Genomic DNA, 19,255 nt, shown 5'->3' with positions numbered 1-19,255 from the left:
TGTTCTGTATCTTCACCAGGTGAGGCTCCGACCCCGGACAGCAAATGCCCCAGACCAGGTGTGGCTCCAACCCCAGACAGCGAATGTCCCAGACCAGGAGGGGCTCTGACCCAGGACAGCGAATGCCCCAGACCAGGTGTGGCTCCAACCCTGGAATCAATCCCAGACAGTGAATGTCCCAGGCTCCACGACAGCACCGAGCACCCTGGGACTCCGGCAATCAGGCGGCTGGGACACCTCACAGAAGGGGGACAGCCATGACGGAAGGGGGAGGCGCCCACCTGCAGCTTCAGGTCATGACACGGCACAGAGTGGCAAGGGCCAGGGAAGGCCCTGAGGATGAGAATGGGCCTGGACGCTCCCTGAACCAGGGTGGGGCAGGGTAGGGAAGGGGGCGCAGAGTCACACAGGCAGTGGGGACAACAGCAGGGCCCAGGCAGCTCAAGGGGCATGTCGGGTGGGAGGCAGGGACATGGCGGGTGGGCCACAGGGGAGGGAAGGACATGGTGGGTGGGCCACGGGGGAGGGAAGGACACGGTGGGCGGGCCGTGGAGGAGGAGGGACACGGCGGGCGGGCCACGGGGGAGGAAGGATTCTGAGGAGGAGCAGACGGTGCTGGTGGCTGAAGCAGAACCGGGCCAAATCCTAGGGCTCAGACAGATCGGCCTGTGGTTTGCGTGGCTTTTGCTTGCTTCGAACTTCCATTGTGGAGATCTGCACCATGAGGAACAGGACAGAGCCATCCTCTGTGGGCTGCAGGACCACCTCTCCCCTGCAGGGTCCTACCCAGGGCTCAAGCCCAGCACCTGCCCCTCCAGAGACCCTATCATTTCAGGAAATTCTAAGAGAAACACTTGGCCGGGCGCAGTGGCTCACGCCTGTATTCCCAGAGCTTTGGGAGGCTGAGGCAGGAGGATCACTTGAGCCCAGGAGTTTCAGACCAGCCTGAGCCACACAGGGAGACCCCGTCTCTTAAAAACAATAAAAATCAGCTGGGTTTGGTGGTGGGCACCTGTAGACTCAGCTACTCGGGAGGCTGAGGCGGGAGGATTGCTTGAGCCCAGGAGGTCGAGGCTGCAGTGAGCTGCAACTGTGTCACTGCACTCCAGCCTGGGTGAGAGCGAGACCCTGTCTCAAAAAAAAAAGACAAAAAAAGACTCTGTTTTATTGAGGCAACCACAATGCCACACTGACACTTAAAAAAATACCACCTCCTCGCCACCACTGGGAATCCGGCCGGCGCCCAAAATTCCCGCATTTCCCCACCATCAATTTTTTGTTTTTTTGAAGTCTCCCGATGTTGCCCAGGCTCGTCTCAAACTCCTGGGCTCAAGTGATCCTCCTGCTTCAGCCTCCCAAAGCTCTGGGATTACAGCATGAGCCACCGTGCCCGGCCCCTTTTACAAACTTCTAGAGCTAGTTCGGTCAGATCAGACCCTTGGGTCACGCCCTGCCCTGAGCAAGAGCCCCTCCTACGGTCCCTTCGTCACAGCCGCACGGGCACGGCTGCGAGGCCGGCTTTCGCCTCCATGGTCTGGCGGGCATCGGCTGCCTGTGAGGCCTTCTTACCTCCTCATCAGACCGGCCGCCCCATGTGTCCCCGTGGCCACAAGATGGGCTCTACCCTTGTCTGCTCACGCCTCAGTCACTCAGCTCCACACCCACCATCTCTGGAAGGTTCTAGAACATGGCAGGCACGCGCCCCTCAGGGTCTTGGTGCTCCTGCACCAGACGTTCTGCTCCCCACACCCCGTCTTTGCTGAAATGACCCCTCAGGGTCATCTTTCCGGCCCTCCCGGCACTCCCCGGCACACCCCATGACCCTGCCTGGCCCTGCCCTCCTCCCCGGCGCTTCCTGGCTCTGAGGGGCCATGGGCTGAGCTTGTTCCTTCTGCTGCGTGAGTTTATGGGGCAAGGCTTCTCCCGCCCTGGTCACTGCTGTCGCCCGGCAGGCACAGGGCACAGGAGGCATCTCCCTAGCAGGTTTGCTAACTGAATGACACGTGACGGGTGGATAGGCAGTGCCAATGAGACCCGCCGTGGTCACTACTCAGAGGAGCCCGGGGCATCTGGTGCGACCAGTGTGGCTTCCACTCGGGTGGGCTGAGGCTACAGCGGGGCCTGGGCAGGGCTGAGTGTCCCCCGTTGAACACAGGGCCCCCGCGGCAGCGGCTGGACCTGCGCAAGCCCCATTGTCTCAACATGTCCAAAAACCCAGGGCTCCCAGAAGGGAAAGACCACAGAGTGGAAAGCAGAATGGCTCAGGACCTGCCCAGAGCCTCGCCAACACCGGACAACAGCAGAGAAAAGCCTCAGGACCTGCCCAGAGCCTCGCCAATGCTGGACAACAGCAGAGAAAAGCCTCAGGACCTGCCCAGACCTGCCCAGAGCCTCGCCAACACCGGACAACAGCAGAGAAAAGCCTCAGGACCTGCCCAGAGCCTCGCCAACACCGGACAACAGCACAGAAAAGCCTCAGAGCAACTGCACACAACCGCATATCCGGGTCAACTCATCGAGCCGCACACCTAAGAAAGGGTCGTTTTGCTATCTGCAGAAAACAAAGGCCAGATTACCTACCCGTCGAGCATGAGCCAGAACGAGGTGACAGACACACAAGGCGTCTCCTGAACCCGTCCCAGGAAGCGTCTGGAGGTGACTTTGTGAACACAGAACCAGCCCCATTCGGCCCTGTCCTGGTCATGAACCCGGCTCTGGGCATTAATGTTCAAGGCACAGGTCTAGGACTGGACCAGGCTGTGGAGGGGCTGGGGACTGATGTGCAGAGGCTGGGGGCGTTGGGGACAGTCCGCCCTGGGGGTGGCGTGGGGGATGATGTGCAGAGGCTGGGGGCATGGAGGACGGCCCGCCCTGGGGGTGGCATGGGGGCTGGTAGAGAGGTTGGGGGTGTTGGGGGCAGCCTTCCTTTGTGGGGGCATGGGGGCTGATGTGTGGAGGCTGGGGTGCCAGGGTCGCCCTCCTGGGGGTGGTGTGGGGGCTGCATGACTGACTGCCACTCCAGCAAAGCAGCCAGTGCGGGATGAGGGTCCCCACCCGCACCACCAAGGGCAGTTGGGCTCACGTTCCCGCCCCATCTCAAGCAGAAGCTGAGAGAATCCCCGGCGGCTGTCCTGCTCTTTCTGCTGGGAAAACAGACTGACTGGCTGGGCAGCTGCCTCAGCCCGGGCCCCTGGACTGGAAGCCACAGGAGCACATGCAGCCACAGCGATCACCCACACGGAACGCGAGGGAGGGTGAGCCTCTGTTCGTGTGGTCCCTGGGGCCTGGGGATTGCTTGTTACTGCGGCAGAATGTAAGGGAGCTGACTGTCACAGTCCACTTAGAAAAATGCAGGAATGGCAGGCAGAGACCTAGGAAGGACGCACACTTGATCATGCCTCAGTCAACAGAGATGGCACCACACAGCTGCCATTCGCCCAGAGGACGCCCCTGGGCTGGGCATCAGGACACACAAGTGAGCCCAGCCGACCGCACCCCAGCCCTTGGGAGCAGACACCGTTTTGCCCAGAAGCACTGGAATCATGACAGTCAGGCGGCAAAGGTGAGGGGGGAAGATGGCAAGGGCAACACCCAGGCTAACACGAGCCTGAAATCAACTAAGCGGGAGTAAAGTCCTGCGCCCACTGCTCAGGCCCTGGTGACGGTGACCAAGGGCGCCTCCCACTGCCCAGGCCCCGGTGAAGGTAACTGAGGGCTCCTCCCACCCAGGTCCCGGTAACAGTGACCAATGGCTCCCACTATCCAGGCCCCGGTGACGGTGACCGAGGGCTCCCCCTGCCCAGGCCCCGGTGACGGTGACCGAGGGCTCCCCCTGCCCAGGCCCCGGTGACGGTGACCGAGGGCTCCCCCTGCCCAGGCCTTGCCCCTCCTTCCTTTGGCCTCAAAAGGCCAAATCATCTGGTCACACAGTCAACGCCCCTTCCTCCTAGGGAAGGAAAACTGCCCATCCTAGGACTCCCGAGGTCCAGGCTAAGCCTCCACAGCCCCAGGGGCTCCTCCTGCCTCCACTCCTTCCACACGACTCTATGCGGAGCTGCCGCTGACTGGCCGCTTAACCACAGGCTGCAGGGGACCAGCAATGGGGCAGTCCCCTTGCTCATCCCACAGCATGGGGTTGGGGAGGGTCATGGTGGGGAGGAAGTACTTTTTAAATATTAATGAAAATGGCCTAGACACCAGGAATACATTTTCCATCCAAAGAGGCTACTCTCTCAAAGCCATGAAACCCAGTCACATTTCAGCCACATCCCACACTGTCTAGGCTGCACCAATGACCGTTCCAGGCATCCCAAGACAAGGCTGGACTGGACGGACAGAGAGCGGGGACCTGCAAGCAGGACACAGGGCACCTTGACTTTCCTCTGGTCGGTGGCCATGGTCCCATCGGTCACCAGGCCGGAGCCCAGCGCGTGCTCCAGGAAGTGGCCCAGCTTCTCAGCGTCATGGCCTGCGTTGGAGCCTGAAGTCTCGATGAGGACGTAAAACGGACTCTCTAGAAGTGAGCAAGGAAGGCAGAGTGAGCAGAGGCTCCGGCTGCCAGGGCAAGAATCAGGGCTGCTCGGGCAGAACAGCTGTAATAGCAACCACTGATCTTTCGTGGCCAAGAAGGACCCAGGCAGCCTGCGGAGCACACAGCTCTCTGGTTAAGCTGACTTTCAGAAGGTTTAAAAAGTCGTCTTTGGCCGGGCACAGTGGCTCACACCTGTAATCCCAGCACTTTGGGAGGCTGAGGTGGGTGGATCACCTGAGGTCACGAGTTCGAGACCAGCCTGGACAACACGGCAAAACCCTGTCTGTACTAAAAATACAAAAATTAGCTGAGTGTGGTGGCAGGTGCCCGTAATCCCAGCTACTCAGGAGGCTGAGGCAGGAGAATTGTTTGAACCCGGGAGGTGGAAGCTGCTGAGGCAGAAGAATCGTTTGAACCCGGGAGGTGGAGGCTGCTGAGGCAGGAGAATGGTTTGAATCCGGGAGGTGGAGGCTGCAGTGAGCCAAGATCGTGACATTGCACTCCAGCCTGGGCCACAGTGCGAAACTCCATCCCCCAACAACAAAAAATTATTGGCTTTTTTCCCAGCATAAAAGAAAAACGTGCTTACAGAAAGCAACATGGGAAAACAAAGAAAAGAAGAAATGGAAAGAAAGTCTCCCAGCTCACCAAAAATAGCCACTTAGTTCCTTCCCGTCCTTCCTGCAGAAGATCAGGAAATCTGTGTAACTACAAACCTTACACAGGACCAGGGCAGCCTGTTCTTTGTCCTAAATATGTTAAGAGCAGCTTTCTTACACATGAGCCCAACGGCCACTCCATGCTCCGCCCAGGGACCCCCCACCCGCCCGCCCGGGCACCCCCCGCCCACCCGGGGTCTCTGAGCCGTCCCATGTGTCCAGACGTGCAGAAGGAGCTGCAGGACCAGCTGCCCCCTGTGTGGGGGGTCAGTACCTTGCACCGGGCTGGCCAGGTGGAGATGGCGCCCGACCAGCTGCATGCACACAGCATCCATGAACTCGAATGCAGACAGGATCTCACCCAGCATCCCCTTGCAGGTGCTGAAGGTCTGCAGAACCTCAGCAAAGCCTGGGCAGCCTGAAACGGGTCACAGCATGTCAAGCACCACACGGAGCTAAACCCAGCCCACCCAAGTCCCCCTTCAAAGCAGCAACATCAGCCCGACTCATGTGGGTGGGTGAGCTGGGCAGCCACGAGGAGCACGAGGACTGGCACTGCAACAAACAGCCCAGGGTTTGCCTGGCAGGTGCACGCCTGGTGTTACCACCAGCATCAGATCAGGAGGGGTAGGTGCACACCTAGTGTCACCACCAGCATCAGATCAGGAGAAGGTGCACGCCTGGTGTCACCACCAGCATCAGATCAGGAGGGGCAGGGCACGCCTGGTGTCACCACCAGCATCAGATGCCAGGAGGGGCAGGTGCACGCCTGGTGTCACCAGCATCAGATCAGGAGGGACAGGTGCACGCCTGGTGTCACCACCAGCATCAAATCAGGAGGGGAAGGCGCCGAAGAACCACACAGCACCTGAGACGGCAGTGGGACTCAGAGGGGGCGTATCTTGGGAATTCTGCAAACACAGAGCCAGCAACAGGCAGCCTTTGGGAATGGCTGCATTTCTCTTAACACAATCAGCACTCAGGTCTTCCCTGCACTCAGGACCTCATCCAACAGGCGTGTTAGTGCTCCAGGGTTGGTGGGGGCTACCAGTGAGGCCGCTGCCCTGGGGAAGCCGACCCTCAAGTGCAAAGATGGAAAGGAACTGAGTGGAGATGTCTGCAGGCGGGCAGCCCCAGAGACGCTGCAGCAGGAGGGGGCCCGTGCCCACCTTTCAGGGCGAGACAGGGAGGCAATGCAAAGGCATGTGGATATCAGAGAAGAATTTTCCAGAGAGAAGGTCTCACAGGCGCAGAGGCTGGGGGCAGACACCTGCACTGGGTGACACAGGAGCACCTCAAGGCCTGTGACCCGAGCACCATGTCGGGGTGTGGCTGCAGACGCGTAGAGGGCTGGGGTGTGGGAGGTGGTGGTGGTGTTGGAGGGTCTGGCGGTGGGGACTGGGCATCTTGCTCAGAGTGGGCAGGAATCCCCAGGAAGTGGGACAAGAGTGCCTCGTCGGAAGTCGCCCCAGCTGCAGGAGAGCAGGAGCCAGGGCTGACTGGGGCCCTGGAGAGCTGGACCGAGCCCACGAGCACGAGGGACACCAGGACCATCCTCACAGGGCCTGTTCCACCCGGCTTAGACGTGGGCGTGGCACGAAGAGGCGAGTGACTCCTGTCTGAGACCTGGAGTGCGAAGAGCAGGATGCGGCAGCCGGGCTGGCCTCGGGCTCCCAGGACCACAGGCGGGCGGCACACAGGTGACTGCAGTTGGAGTGGGATCAGAGCAGAACACAGAAAACCTGGATGAAGAGGAACCACCGATCCAGATGGCACTGCCGCCCAGAGAGTAAGTCGGCAGAAGCAGTCAAGGCTGCCCCAGCCGTTCCGGGGTCAGGTGGTGAGGAGCCCCACCAGGGGCTGAAGGTGGAGGGCGGGGAGGAGGCGGTGTGGGGGCAGCATCACAGGCCAGGCTTGTGCCGGAGGCAATGGGCGAGAGGGGCAATGAGAACTGATGGCTGGGTTGGCTGTGGGAGGACAGTGGCAGCCATGGTGGGAGGGGCACCAGTGAAGCGGGCAAGGCCTGATTGGGGCAGATCCAGGAGAAGGGGCCTCCACCCAGCAGCAATGGGCTAGGCCACGTGACCCAGTGCCCAGTGAAAACACCACAAACGCTGGGCCAAAAAACACCAAAGAAACCGCTGAAGAGGCCGGGCACAGTGGCTCACACCTGTAATCCCAGCACTTTGGGAGGCCGAGGCGGGCAGATCACTTGAGGTCAGGAGTCACAGACCAGCCTGGCCAACATGGCAAAACCCTGTCTCTACTAAAAATACAAAAATTAGCTGGGCGTGATGGTGGGCGCCTGTAATCCCAGCTACTTGGGAGGCTGAGGCAGGAGAATCGCTTGAACCAGGAGGCGGAGGTTTCAGTGAGCCAAGATTGTGCCACTGCACTCCAGCCTTGGTGACAAGAGTGAGACTCTGTCTCAAAAACAAAAACAAAAAAACGCTGAAGAGCATCAAGAGCGAGGGAAGAGCCTGACCTGGGGGCTGAGTAGCACCAAGTCAACGCTGTTGGCCGACAGCCCTTGCCCCGCTAGCAGGTTTGGCCTCAAGCTTCCCAGCCTACCCAGAGTGAGGAATCCAGGAGACCCCCACAGGGCCACATCTTAGAAGTCAGGGCCAGAAGCAAGCCTGTCCCAACCAACTTGCCCCGAAGACTGCAGGGGAAATGGCTGAACAGAATGAGAAAAAAGCAGAATGGAGCCCGACGCAGGTGCTCATGCCTGTAGCCCCAGCACTTTGGGAGGCCAAGGCAGGAGAATTGTTTGAGCTCAGGAGTTCAAGACCAGCCTGGGCATCATGGGAGACCCTGTCTCTATAAAACAATTTTAAAAATGTAGCCAGGTATGGTGGTACACACCTGGTCCCAGCTACTAGGGAGGCAGGAGGATCCCTTCAGTGCAGGAGTTCAAGGCTGCAGTGAGCCACGATTGCACCACTGCACTCCAGCCTGGATGACAGAGTGAGACCTTGTCTCTCAAAAAAATACAGAAGAATAATGTAAAAAAAAAAAAAAACACTCTCCTGATAAATCATGACCATGGATCAGCCCGACACAGCCCTACACTGACTTGCTACCTGGGAGTTTCACAGAATTTCATCCTGTGAACTTGGTCACTCTCAGGCTGAACAGACCCAAAGACACCTAGCAAAAGCAAAAGCAAAAGCAAACCCTCTCTGGAGGAAGGTACCTCGTCTTTGGCATCTAGGAACCCCTACAAATAATTCTTCAAACATAATGAGCTGCACACTGCCACAGACAGCCAAGCACACAAGAAACTAAGGAGCCAGGAGCATGAACCAGCAGAAACAACAGACACTAAAAACAGACCACACAGGCTGGGTGCAGCGGCTCAGGCTCACACCTATAACCCCCGCACTTTAGGAGGCCACAGTGGGAGGATCGTTTAGCCCAGGAGTTACATGAGACCCTGTTTCTACATACAAAATTTTTTTTAATTACCTAGGCATGGTGGTGTGCACCTGTAATCCCAGCTACTCAAGAGGATGGCTTGAACCCAGGGGCTATGATCACACCACTGCACTTCAGCTTGGGCAACAGAGTGAGACCTTGTCTCTAAAAAAAACTTTCACAGACTACACAGACTTGAAAAAATGGAATTGCCTGATTATAAAACATCACAAAAAATTATTCAAAGTTTTTTTTTTTTTTTTTGAGATGGAGTCTTGCTCTGTCACCCAGGCTGGAGTGCAGTGGCATGATCTCAGCCCACTGTAACCTCTGCCTTATGGTCTGAAGCAATTCTCCTGCCTCAGCCTCCCAAGTAGCTGGGATTACAGGCGTCCACCACCATGCCCGGCTAATTTTTGTATTTTTAGTAGAGATGGGGTTTCACCTTGTTGACCAGGCTGGTCTCAAACTCCTGACCTCGTGATCCACCTGCCTCAGCCTCCCAAAGTGCTGGGATTACAGGTGTGAACTACTGTGCCCAGCCTAATTTTTGTACTTTTAGTAGAGACAGGGTTTCATCATGTTGGCCAGACTGGTCTCAAACTCCTGACCTCAAATGACCCACCCGCCTTGGCCTCCCAAAGTGCTGGGATTATAGACGTCAAACTATGTTTAAAGACACAAATGGTGAGCTTGAGAATACCTAGAATAGAAAACTATAAAAAGTAACATTGCAGATTTGACAAAAATAACAAAACTTTTAGAAATAAAAACTTTCATAATCAAAATGTAAAACTCAATGGACGGAGGGAACCACTCATGGAGGGGTTCAGCAGCAAATAAAACACAGCAGAAGAGGGCATTCGTGAACTGGAAGACAGATGAGAAGAAATCACACAGAATGCAGCACAGAGAGACACGATGATGACAATATGGAGGGGAGATTAAGAGACACAGAAGACGGACTGAGACATTCTATCCTGAATCACAGTCCCAAAAGGAGAGGAAAACACAGACAATATCTGAAGCAATAATGGCTAAGAATTTCTAGAACTGGTAAAAGATACCAAGCCACAGGTTTAAGAAATTCAGTAATTCCAAGGAGATGAAAAAGAACGTACACACACACACCACACACTGAAAACTTTAGAAGATCAGAAAGAATGATCTTTAAGTGGCCCAAGGGGGGCCAGGAGAGAGGCAGAATCCCTTCACAGCAGCAGCTACCGACAGCAAAGTTCCCAACAGCGAGGAGGCCAGAGGACAGCGGGTCAGCGTTTCCACCGGGATAAAAGAAAACAAACAACAGCCTGAAGCCATGCGCCTGTGGAAAAGAGCCTTCAAGAATGAGGATGAAATAAAGGTATTTTCAGACACGCCAGAAGTGAAGAAGTGGTCACCAGGAGACCTTTACTGCAGGAAATGAACGAGGATATGTTTGCAACATAATCCCAGACAGAAGATCGGACACAAGAGAGTGGAGGGCAGAGAAAGTGGCCATAAAATAATAATCCTGGTGAGATTGCTTAAAATACGGAACACACATCACAACAAGAAGATGTAAGTGGCTGAAGGAACAAGCATGCGGAGTCTCAGCATCCTCCAGGGCTGCCCAAGCTTCTGGCAGCTCAAGACACCGAACTGGGAGTTGGTGAGCTAGACCCGCCACCTCCCGCGCGAAGACTGCCGGGCTGTGCGACTTCTGAACTCCTGAGGAGGAAATGCTGGATAAACCCGCCCGATTCAAATGAAGCAAGAAAGGAGCCGCAGGCAGGTCCCAGGAGAACCGAAGAAGTGGCTGTGAGTGAAGCAGGCCTGTGGAGACACAGCAGCAGGCAGGTCTGCTGAGACCCCCAGTCTGGGCTGACTGGGGAAGCCCCCCATTACAGGAGGGAATTCTTTATCCCCACAGTAACTAAGAGTGGTGTCCTGAACTGATGCCAAATGACAGCATGTCCCTCAACCTTACTCCACAAGCTACTCAACCAACACGATGGGGTGAATGAGGCAACACAAGCCTGTTTTCTTATGAAATGAAGTGTCCTCTGACCAGAGACAGAGAGAGGCCTCACTCTACACCTTTACCCATGACCACCAGGAAGGCCAGGTCCTGGATTCCTGATTCCTTTGGAAGCAGAGATGTCAGGAGACACGGGAACCGACTGTCCTTGGCGGGGGGTCCCTCCATCCCCTTCCTCACACCAACAGTGGCACCATCAGAGCAGACGCTCGAGCCCAACCACCCATCTCAAGGCACACATCGAGGAAGCCCACCGAGGAAAGCCACGTTCACAGCCCTGGGCTTGGGTGGACACAAGATGGACACCGTGGTGATGATCCCCAAAGTGCCCTCCGACCCGATGAACAGCTGCTTCAGGTCATAGCCCGTGTTGTCCTTCCTCAGGGAGGTCAGGCAGTCCAGGACAGTGCCGTCGGCCAGCACCTTGGGGCAAAGAGAAGCACGTTCACCCACCTGCCAGCCTCCTGACAAGACGTCGGTCGCCTCCGGGGCCAGGTGTCACTTCTGCAGCAGCCTGAGGTCATGCCAAGAGGCTGAAGGATGGACTTTCCTCCTGTACGAGTGACACCCTCCACACACAGCAGCTCACTGCCCAGGGGGCACGCCCGGGGTCGGGGGCAGTGGGGAGGCTCCCTGGGAGTAGGGCGTGAGCCCAGCCCAGGACCCAGCCACCTCTGGACCCACCAGCCATAAGGCATCAAAGCTCCCGAGCTGTGGGCCTCTCCGAGTCCTGTGTGCTGGTACTGTGAGTCGGAGGCCTACACAGCTCATGAGTGCAAAAAAGTAATTTACAATAAAGATAATCAGTGGCTGGCCAGAAAAAAAAGCTACTGAAGCGTCATAATTTACTGGATGGCACCAAAGCATGGTTTTGTGTTTGCTTCGTCCACTTGGGTAAACAGGACAGAGAGCTCTGCCTGTGACACTCGGCTGGTGAGGGTGCGGGTAAACAGAGGGGCCCTGGAGGAACAGTGGGCAGCAGAAGGTCACGAAGCTGACCCTGGATGAGCCTTCCTTCACACCCGGCTCCCAGAAGCCCACCACTGCCGGGGCGGTGTCCCCTGTAACTGCATCCTCTCTGTGTGGCCCCGAGGCAGTGGACACAAAATCACCCTCTCGTGGGAGGACAGGGCAGGGCCAGGCCTCCCTCAGGATGGGGGTGTATGTAGCCCACACATCCTTGAGGGGCCCAGGGCCAGGAACCAAGACCTCCCACCCCGAGGGGCCCCATGCACCTGTGCCACCACGTGGGCCCATGAGAGCCGTGAGAGGACACCCCGTGGCGACCTCTGCACCAAGCAGCTGCCCCAGCTCACCACTTCCAGGCCCAGGACAGTCCCATGCAGTGAGCCATATCGAAGAAACCGCAGGCCTCCAGCGTTGGTTGCCACGTTTCCCCCGATGTGGCAGCTGCCCTTGGCTCCTAAGTCCAGCGGCATGATGAAGTCCCGTTCCTCCACATACCGGCTCAGCTCCTCCAGGACGCAGCCCGCCTGGCAAACCAGAATTCCTGCAGAGAGTGACCAGGCTGCCGCAGCACTTGGCTTCCAGTGGGCCCCCGGGCTGGTGAGTCCCAACCCCCATCTTGCACAGGCAAGCCACCCAGAAGGAACATCAGCCTCAGCGCCAGGGCTGAGGAGAAGAGGCACCCCCACATCGCTGGCCCAAGGACGAAAACATCTGGGCCTCACAGGACCTTTATAATTATGGTGACACAAAAAAAAAATGAGTAACATGAAAAGAGAGGAAAAAACTTCCCACCCCCACACACACTCGTGGAAAGGAGTAGAAGAGGGAAGATTCTCAGCTGGGGCTGATCCTGCCCTGGGCATGTGGGACAATGCCTGGGTTGGGGGTGCCATGGGCACCTTGTAGGCGGAGGCCAAGGATGCTGCTCAACACCCAACAGTGCAGGCGCCCGACCACAGAGTGACCGGGGCCTGGAGCCCGGCCTTGCGGGGAGAGGCCCAGCTCCAGAGCAGGACCCTGGCGCCCTGGGTCAGGATCCCCTCATGCCTGCCACGCCCTGGCACCCTGGGTCAGGATCCCCTCACGCCTGCCACGCCCTGGCGCCCTGGGTCAGGATCCCCTCACGCCTGCCACGCCCTGGCGCCCTGGGTCAGGATCCCCTCATGCCTGCCACGCTCTGGCGCCCTGGGTCAGGATCCCCTCACGCCTGCCACGCCCTGGCGCCCTGGGTCAGGATCCCCTCACGCCTGCCACGCCCTGGCGCCCTGGGTCAGGATCCCCTCATGCCTGCCACGCCCTGGCACCCTGGGTCAGGATCCCCTCACACATGCCACTCTGCACCTCACACACCTCTAGAGCGGGATGGAGTCGGAAGGGACCAGAATGACAAGCCCTCACCAGCACGCATGTCTGGAGGGGCCGGGCGAGGTGGGGCTAGGCGGCCAGGCTACAGACGCTGGTTCTTTCCCCAGCGCCGGCCCTAACTCATTCACCCACCCAAGCACCCCACAGTTGCAGACGCTGGCAAGGAAGAACTCCACCAGCACCAGGAGGGACTCCTGGGCCCCGACGGGTGGCACAGGCTTACCAGACACGCTGTGGAAGCTGAGGACCCGGTTCATGCGGGCAGTGGAGAGGATGATCTCGTCAAAGACGGGGACGCTGCCACCCACCATGCCTGTGTTGCCCCCCTGTGGGTTCACGGCCAGGTTCCTCTCGTGGCAGTGCCTGGGATGAGGACAGGAGGGACGTTGGGGCTCTGTCCCCACCCCTACGCCACCATCCCCAAGGACACGCCGCAGGACCAGTGCCTGACTCCAAATCCTGATTACCCTGCCCTGCCTGCAGCCTCAGCGGGGGCTCCTCCCCAGCCCACGCATGTGAGGGATTCTGAGGAAGGACAGAGGCCAATCCGAAAGCTGTGCACAGGGAGACGGAAGTGGAGGCCCCGATTCTGACGTCCTACAAGGCTTCCCTCAAAGGACAGAACGTCCTACACGCCCGGCTCCCATCCTTCCCGTTCACACCATGCTCACAGAGGGTCCAGCTCAGGGTTCCTCGACCGCACTGCCCCCACTGCCTTCCACCCTCTGCCTGCATCTCCCCACCCTCGGCCCATTATCCCCCAGACGTGTGCCCAAGGATACCTCCCTCCCAACCAGCCTGCACCTTTGCAAAGCCCCAAAGCCTAGAGCACACCCAGTGGCTAGGGGTTTGGAGAAACCAAAGTTCCGTGCTCTGGGAAAAGGAATCTGCCCATGTACATGAAATAAACCCTGGAGACAGCAAGCCCCACACATGAAATAAACCCTGGAGACAGCAAGCCCCACACATGAAATAAACCCTGGAGGCAGCAAGCCCCACACATGAAATAAACCCTGGAGACAGCAAGTCCCACACATGAAATAAACCCTGGAGACAGCAAGCCCCATACATGAAATAAACCCTGGAGACAGCAAGCCCCATACATGAAATAAACCCTGGAGACAGCAAGCCCCACACATGAAATAAACCCTGGAGACAGCAAGCCCCATACATGAAATAAACCCTGGAGACAGCAAGTCCCACACATGAAATAAACCCTGGAGACAGCAAGCCCCACACATGAAATAAACCCTGGAGGCAGCAAGCCCCACACATGAAATAAACCCTGGAGACAGCAAGCCCCACACATGAAATAAACCCTGGAGACAGCAAGTCCCAGGGATGGAGTTTAACAGAGTAAGTGCACGTTGCCCCAAAGCACCTGCTGAGGATGATCTAAAGCACTGTCCACAGTCATGGACACCCGGAGACCAGTGCCACCCTGTAGTGTGTTCATGGGGGAGGAGCTTTGCTGTTACAGACAGTGCCAAGAAATGGGCATGGGCATTGCCAAATGGGGGGAAATGATTACACACCACAGATGCATTGAGATAGCACCGAAAAACCACAGAACAAACACTGAGACACACAAACCAAGATGTCATCGGCTGGCTTCGCACCGCGTCACCCCAGCTGCCCACAGGCTCCATGAGGAAATGACCCACAGGCAACAGGGAAGGCTGGGGGAGCCGGGAGCCACCACCTCACCTGAGGATGTGGGACACCTCCTCCGACGTCCGTGGCCTCAGCAGCACCTTGCTACAGCCTGTGACAGGAAGAAGATCCTATGAGACAGCGTGGGGGGAGCTGCAGATGAGGCAAGTGGTCACTCGCCCCAGAGAGCGAGTTTTTTTTTTTGGAGACGGACTCTCACTCTGTTGCCCAGGCTGAAGTGCCACGATCCTGGCTCACTGCAACCTCTCCCTCCCAGGTTCAAGCGATTCTCCTGCCTCAGCCTCCCAAGTAGCTGGGATTATAGGCACCCGCCACCACACCTGGCTAATTTTTGTATTTTTAGTAGAGACAGGGTTTCACCACATTGGCCAGGCTGGTCTCGAACTCCTGACCTCGTGATCCGCCCACTGCGGCCTCCCAAAGTGCTGGGATTACAGGCATGAGCCACCATGCCCAGCCCCCAGAGAGTGATCTTATTTGGGAAGCTGAGGAGGGAGAATCATCTGAGTCCAGGAGGTCAAGGCTGCAGTGAGCTATGATCGCAACACTGCACTCCAGCCTGGGTGACAGAGCAAGAAGCCATCTCAAAAAAACCAAAACTAGGTCCCACATGGGAGGTGGTGGGCCGGGCACTGGGCACAGTGTGCAGAAGTGGGTAAGGCTGGGCCCATGGATGAGAGTCCCACAGGCCAGGCATTGGCAGCTCCAAGGTTGCCCACCCACTTGTGGTGAGGTCGGCTCGGTCCCACGGTAACGGGATGTCTGCAGGCTTCCCTCCTGCCACGCCACCACACTTCCTTTCGTGATGTGTGTGCACCTCACAAGCAGACGCTTGAGACTATGTGGACATCCTGTTGCTCCTCAAGCTTCACCCATTAACATCTTTGATTATCCTAGACCAAATCAGTTACTAGGATGGTTGCCAACTGGTGATTTTCCTAAATCCATCTGTCCACCTACACTTCCTTTTATTTCTTTTGAAACAGGGTCTCACTCCGTCACCCAGTCTGGAGTACAGTGACACAATCACAGCTCACTGCAGCCTCAACCTCCTGAGCTCAAGCGATCCTCCTGCTTCAGCCTCCCAAGCAGCTGGGACTACAGGTGCCTGCCACCATGCCCGGCTAATTTTGATATTTTTAGTAGAAACAGGGTTTCACCATGTTCCCCAGTCTGATCTTGAACTCATGGCCTCAAGCAATCCACCCACCTCAGCCTCCCTAAGGGCTGTGGTTACAGGCATGAGTCGCCGCGCCCGGCCTCTTAGCTGACTCTGCCACGAGGGAGGGCTTTCCCTTCGCTCTCACTGACGTGTTTATGTAGCTGCTTATTCACAGTGATGTGGGCTCTCGGCTTCTCACTTTATTCACTGGGCTATAAGTCTTGGCCGCCTTATTTGCTGAATGCCTGGATGTGACCAGTGGGAGCCCTCTGAGCTAGTTCGCCGGTGTTGCTAACCACTGCTGCCCCAAGTGAGCAGGCGTCTTTCTGCCTTTGGGTTTCCTTGAGACGACTTTCCCAGGTGATGGGGGCTGCAGAGAGGCAGCAGGTGCAGTCACGGGAGCCTGTCACCTCTTCGTGGAGCTCTGAGAACCAGGCTGTGGTGTCCACCTTGCTTTTCTGATCAGAAAGCCACTTATGTCTCTTTCATCAAATGAGCAATTTTTGCAGAGGGGCCTGCTGGGCACCTGGGCCTCGGCCCGACACTTCAGTGCGGCACCTGAGGGAACCCTGGCACCTGCGCTCACTGCGTCCCTGTCCCGAGTGGGCTCAGGAGCCCCAGGACTCATGGCAAAGCTTTCGACTCGGACACACTTGTGACGCGCCTGTGGCAGGGTTCTCAACACAAACATGAGTACCCCCCAAGAATGCAGGCCAGGCCGCGTTCCAGACACAGAATGAGCACAGAATTTCCCACTCCTGTGATGTTTACCTTCTAACGGGAAAGATGAAAAGGAGGGCTCCCTCCCGGTGGTCCAGTGTTAACGATGGGAGCCCCACAAAGACGGAGGGGGCCATGGGGGCAAGGCCGCCAGAGGTGACACAGGGGCCCAGCCTGTTTTCACACCGCGAAGCTCCCACCTTCCTGCCAGTGCAGGCGTGCTCACTAAACGTCTGCAGCATCCATCCTGAGCAAATGGTCTAGATTTTTGAATATGATGCTTAATGAGTTTTCAGAAGTCTAGACAAGCTCTCTCTCCAAAAGCAAGCCACATGAAGGGATAATTCACCTAAAATTCAACAACTAAGCCTCACATCAGCAAACACCTACTGAGCAGACATTCAGGACCAAACCTGTGGACTCAAACATGAGTGAAATTCAGCCTCGCCCTCACCAAACTCGGGGCAGCAGGACGCAGAGGAAGGCGCCCTCCCACAGGCACACACAGACACCGAGGGGCGGCCCTGCAGCAGGACAGGGTGTCCATGGCCACGGATTCCCAAAAAGGTGCTGACCAGAGAGCGGGGACCCAGGGGGACAGCCAGTTCTTGCCCAGTCAGGCTCAGGCAAGGCAGAGGAGAGGAAGAGCGTGGTCACCCCTCAATCTCAGTTACAGCTTCCTCCCCGCTCCTGCATGCCCCGGGGAGGTCCCTTGCCCATGAGGGCAGCAGCGGCATAGCCCAGGGTGCTGGCCTCCGAGCAGGCTGGGAGCACGGGAACCCAAGCATTGTGCTCAAGGCTCACGCTAGGTTCCTGCCCCACTTACCCGCACGGTGTTCCTGAGGCAGTGGCTCCAAGTCCCATTTTGTAGGGCAGGCACTGAGGGTCATCTGCCTAGGGCCACCCAGACAGCAGTGCTGAGCCAGGACTGGGGCCCGACTTAGCCAAGCCCAGGGTGGGCGTCCATCCTCACCTGCCTCCGGGGACAACATTCGTGAGCCCACAGGCCCTGGGCCATGGTGTGCACTCAGGGCAGCAGCTTGAGATCGCCCCAGAGGGGTCCTTACTTCGGGAGCAGGGTGAGGGTGGGGGCCCTTCCACTCAAGAGAGCTCCTACACAGTGACCATTGGTCCAGCGATTTCCAGTGACTCCCAGCCTTTCTGCAGGGAAAGAGCTGCTTCCATTATCTGAGCCTAGACCCCAGTTCAACTTGCTAACTTTCTGAACTGTTTTAACATACGCTGCACTCCCAGATTACACGGTCTGGAAACTTTCTGAGTGTTCTTAATAATTTCAATCTTCTACAAGGGCCAACAAAAAAAAGATAAAAACAATTCCAGATCTTCCCAATGACAGCACACCCTATGTTCAGCCCCAGGACCTGGTGCCAGTTCCACAGGTTTAAATATATCATTTTGTTGTAAATTAAGAGTCAACCAATTCTCTTCTACCTCGCTTTACTATTTTAGCACACAGACACATGCCACCATACCCGGCTAATTTTTAATTTTCTGTAGAGATAGAGTTTCACCATGTTGCTCAGGCTGGTCTTGAACTCCTGGGCTCAAGCGATCTCCCACAGAACTGGGTTACAGGCGTGTAACCCAGCTGTAGTCCCAGCTACTCAGGAGGCTGAGACAGGAAAATCGCTTGACCCCAGGAAGTGGAGGTTGCAGTAAGGGGAGATCGTGCCACTGCACTCCACCCTGAGTGACAGGGCAAGACTCCATCTCAAAAAAATAAAAAAAGAGAAAACTGGGCACTGTTACCAAAAGGAAGTGCCAGCCCCAGAGGCTGAGAAGTCCCTCATTCGTGCACAGACTTGTATGCCACTGGGCAGAAGTGCAGTGGGAGGAGAGGAGCAGGCATTGTTGGCCAGGAGCCCTGCATCTTACCTAATGGGCTCCAAAAAGATACGTCTGCTTCCCAATGCCCCAAGACCTGTGAATGGGACCTTATTTGAAAAAATGGGGCTGGGCATGGTGGCTCATGCCTGTAATCCCAGCACTTTGGGAGGCCGAGGCAGGCGGATCACGATGTCAGGAGATTGAGACCATCCTGGCTAACACGATAAAACCCTGTCTCTACTAAAAATACAAAAAGAATGAGCCGGGCGTGGTGGCGGGCGCCTGTAGTCCCAGCTACTCGGGAGGCGGAGGCAGGAGAATGGCGTGAAGCCAGGAGGCGGAGCTTGCAGTAAGCCGAGATCACGCCACTGCACTCCAGCCTGGGCAACAGAGCGAGACTCCGTCTCAAAAAAACAAAAAGAAAAAACGGTCCAGCTAAGTGCAGTGGCTCATGCCTGTCATCTCAGCACTTTGGGAGGCCAATGTGAGTGGATCACCCGAAGTCAGGAGTTCGAGACCAGCGTGGTCAACATGGTGAAACCCCGTCTCTACTAAAAATACAAAAATTAGCCGGGCATGGTGGCGGGCACCTGTAATCCCAGTTACTTGGGAGGCTGAATTGCTTACACCCAGGAGGGGAAGGTCGCAGTGAGCCAAGATTGCACCATTGCACTCCAGCCTGGGCAAAAAGAGTGAGACTTCATCTCCAAAAAAAAAAAAAACGGATAAACGGTCTTTGCAGATGTAATTAAGTTGACAGTACTGAGATACGATCATCCTGGATTAGGGTGGGCCCTCAATCCAATGAGAAGTGTCTTTATAAGACAACTGGAGAAGAGTCACAGAGAAGAAAAACCTGTATGAAAAACAGAGGCAGAGACTGGAGTAAT

The 19,255-nt window shown here is 56.8% G+C and overlaps 1 protein-coding gene across 37 annotated transcripts in view, besides 1 other annotated feature; it reads right to left on the bottom strand.

The window, feature by feature from the left end:
• The window catches only part of D2HGDH (D-2-hydroxyglutarate dehydrogenase), a 34,182-nt gene that overhangs the window by 13,053 nt on the left and 1,874 nt on the right, over positions 1-19,255 (bottom strand). For 3 of the 37 annotated variants that reach the window (NM_152783.5, XM_047445718.1, NM_001287249.2), the window contains 6 exons: positions 14,669-14,726; positions 13,185-13,324; positions 11,944-12,137; positions 10,882-11,050; positions 5,465-5,608; positions 4,371-4,513 (listed from right to left, as the gene is read on the bottom strand). In NM_152783.5, coding sequence (NP_689996.4) covers positions 4,371-4,513; positions 5,465-5,608; positions 10,882-11,050; positions 11,944-12,137; positions 13,185-13,324; positions 14,669-14,726 — 848 coding nt within the window. The other 34 variants (NR_109778.2, XM_011511756.3, XM_011511743.3 and 31 more) reach the window with 33 other exon arrangements.
• Positions 16,114-16,213: an enhancer, noted in NCBI's record as "active region_17431". NCBI's record gives its function as "activates an Ori minimal core promoter by ATAC-STARR-seq in GM12878 lymphoblastoid cells {active_cell/tissue: GM12878}" and the evidence as "EXISTENCE:reporter gene assay evidence [ECO:0000049][PMID:35858748]".

This window comes from Homo sapiens, chromosome 2 (assembly GCF_000001405.40).
Source record: "Homo sapiens chromosome 2, GRCh38.p14 Primary Assembly".
Lineage (NCBI taxonomy): Eukaryota > Metazoa > Chordata > Mammalia > Primates > Hominidae > Homo > Homo sapiens.
Note: the sequence above shows the minus strand (reverse complement) of the source record. Positions and strands in the feature narration are given on the sequence as shown.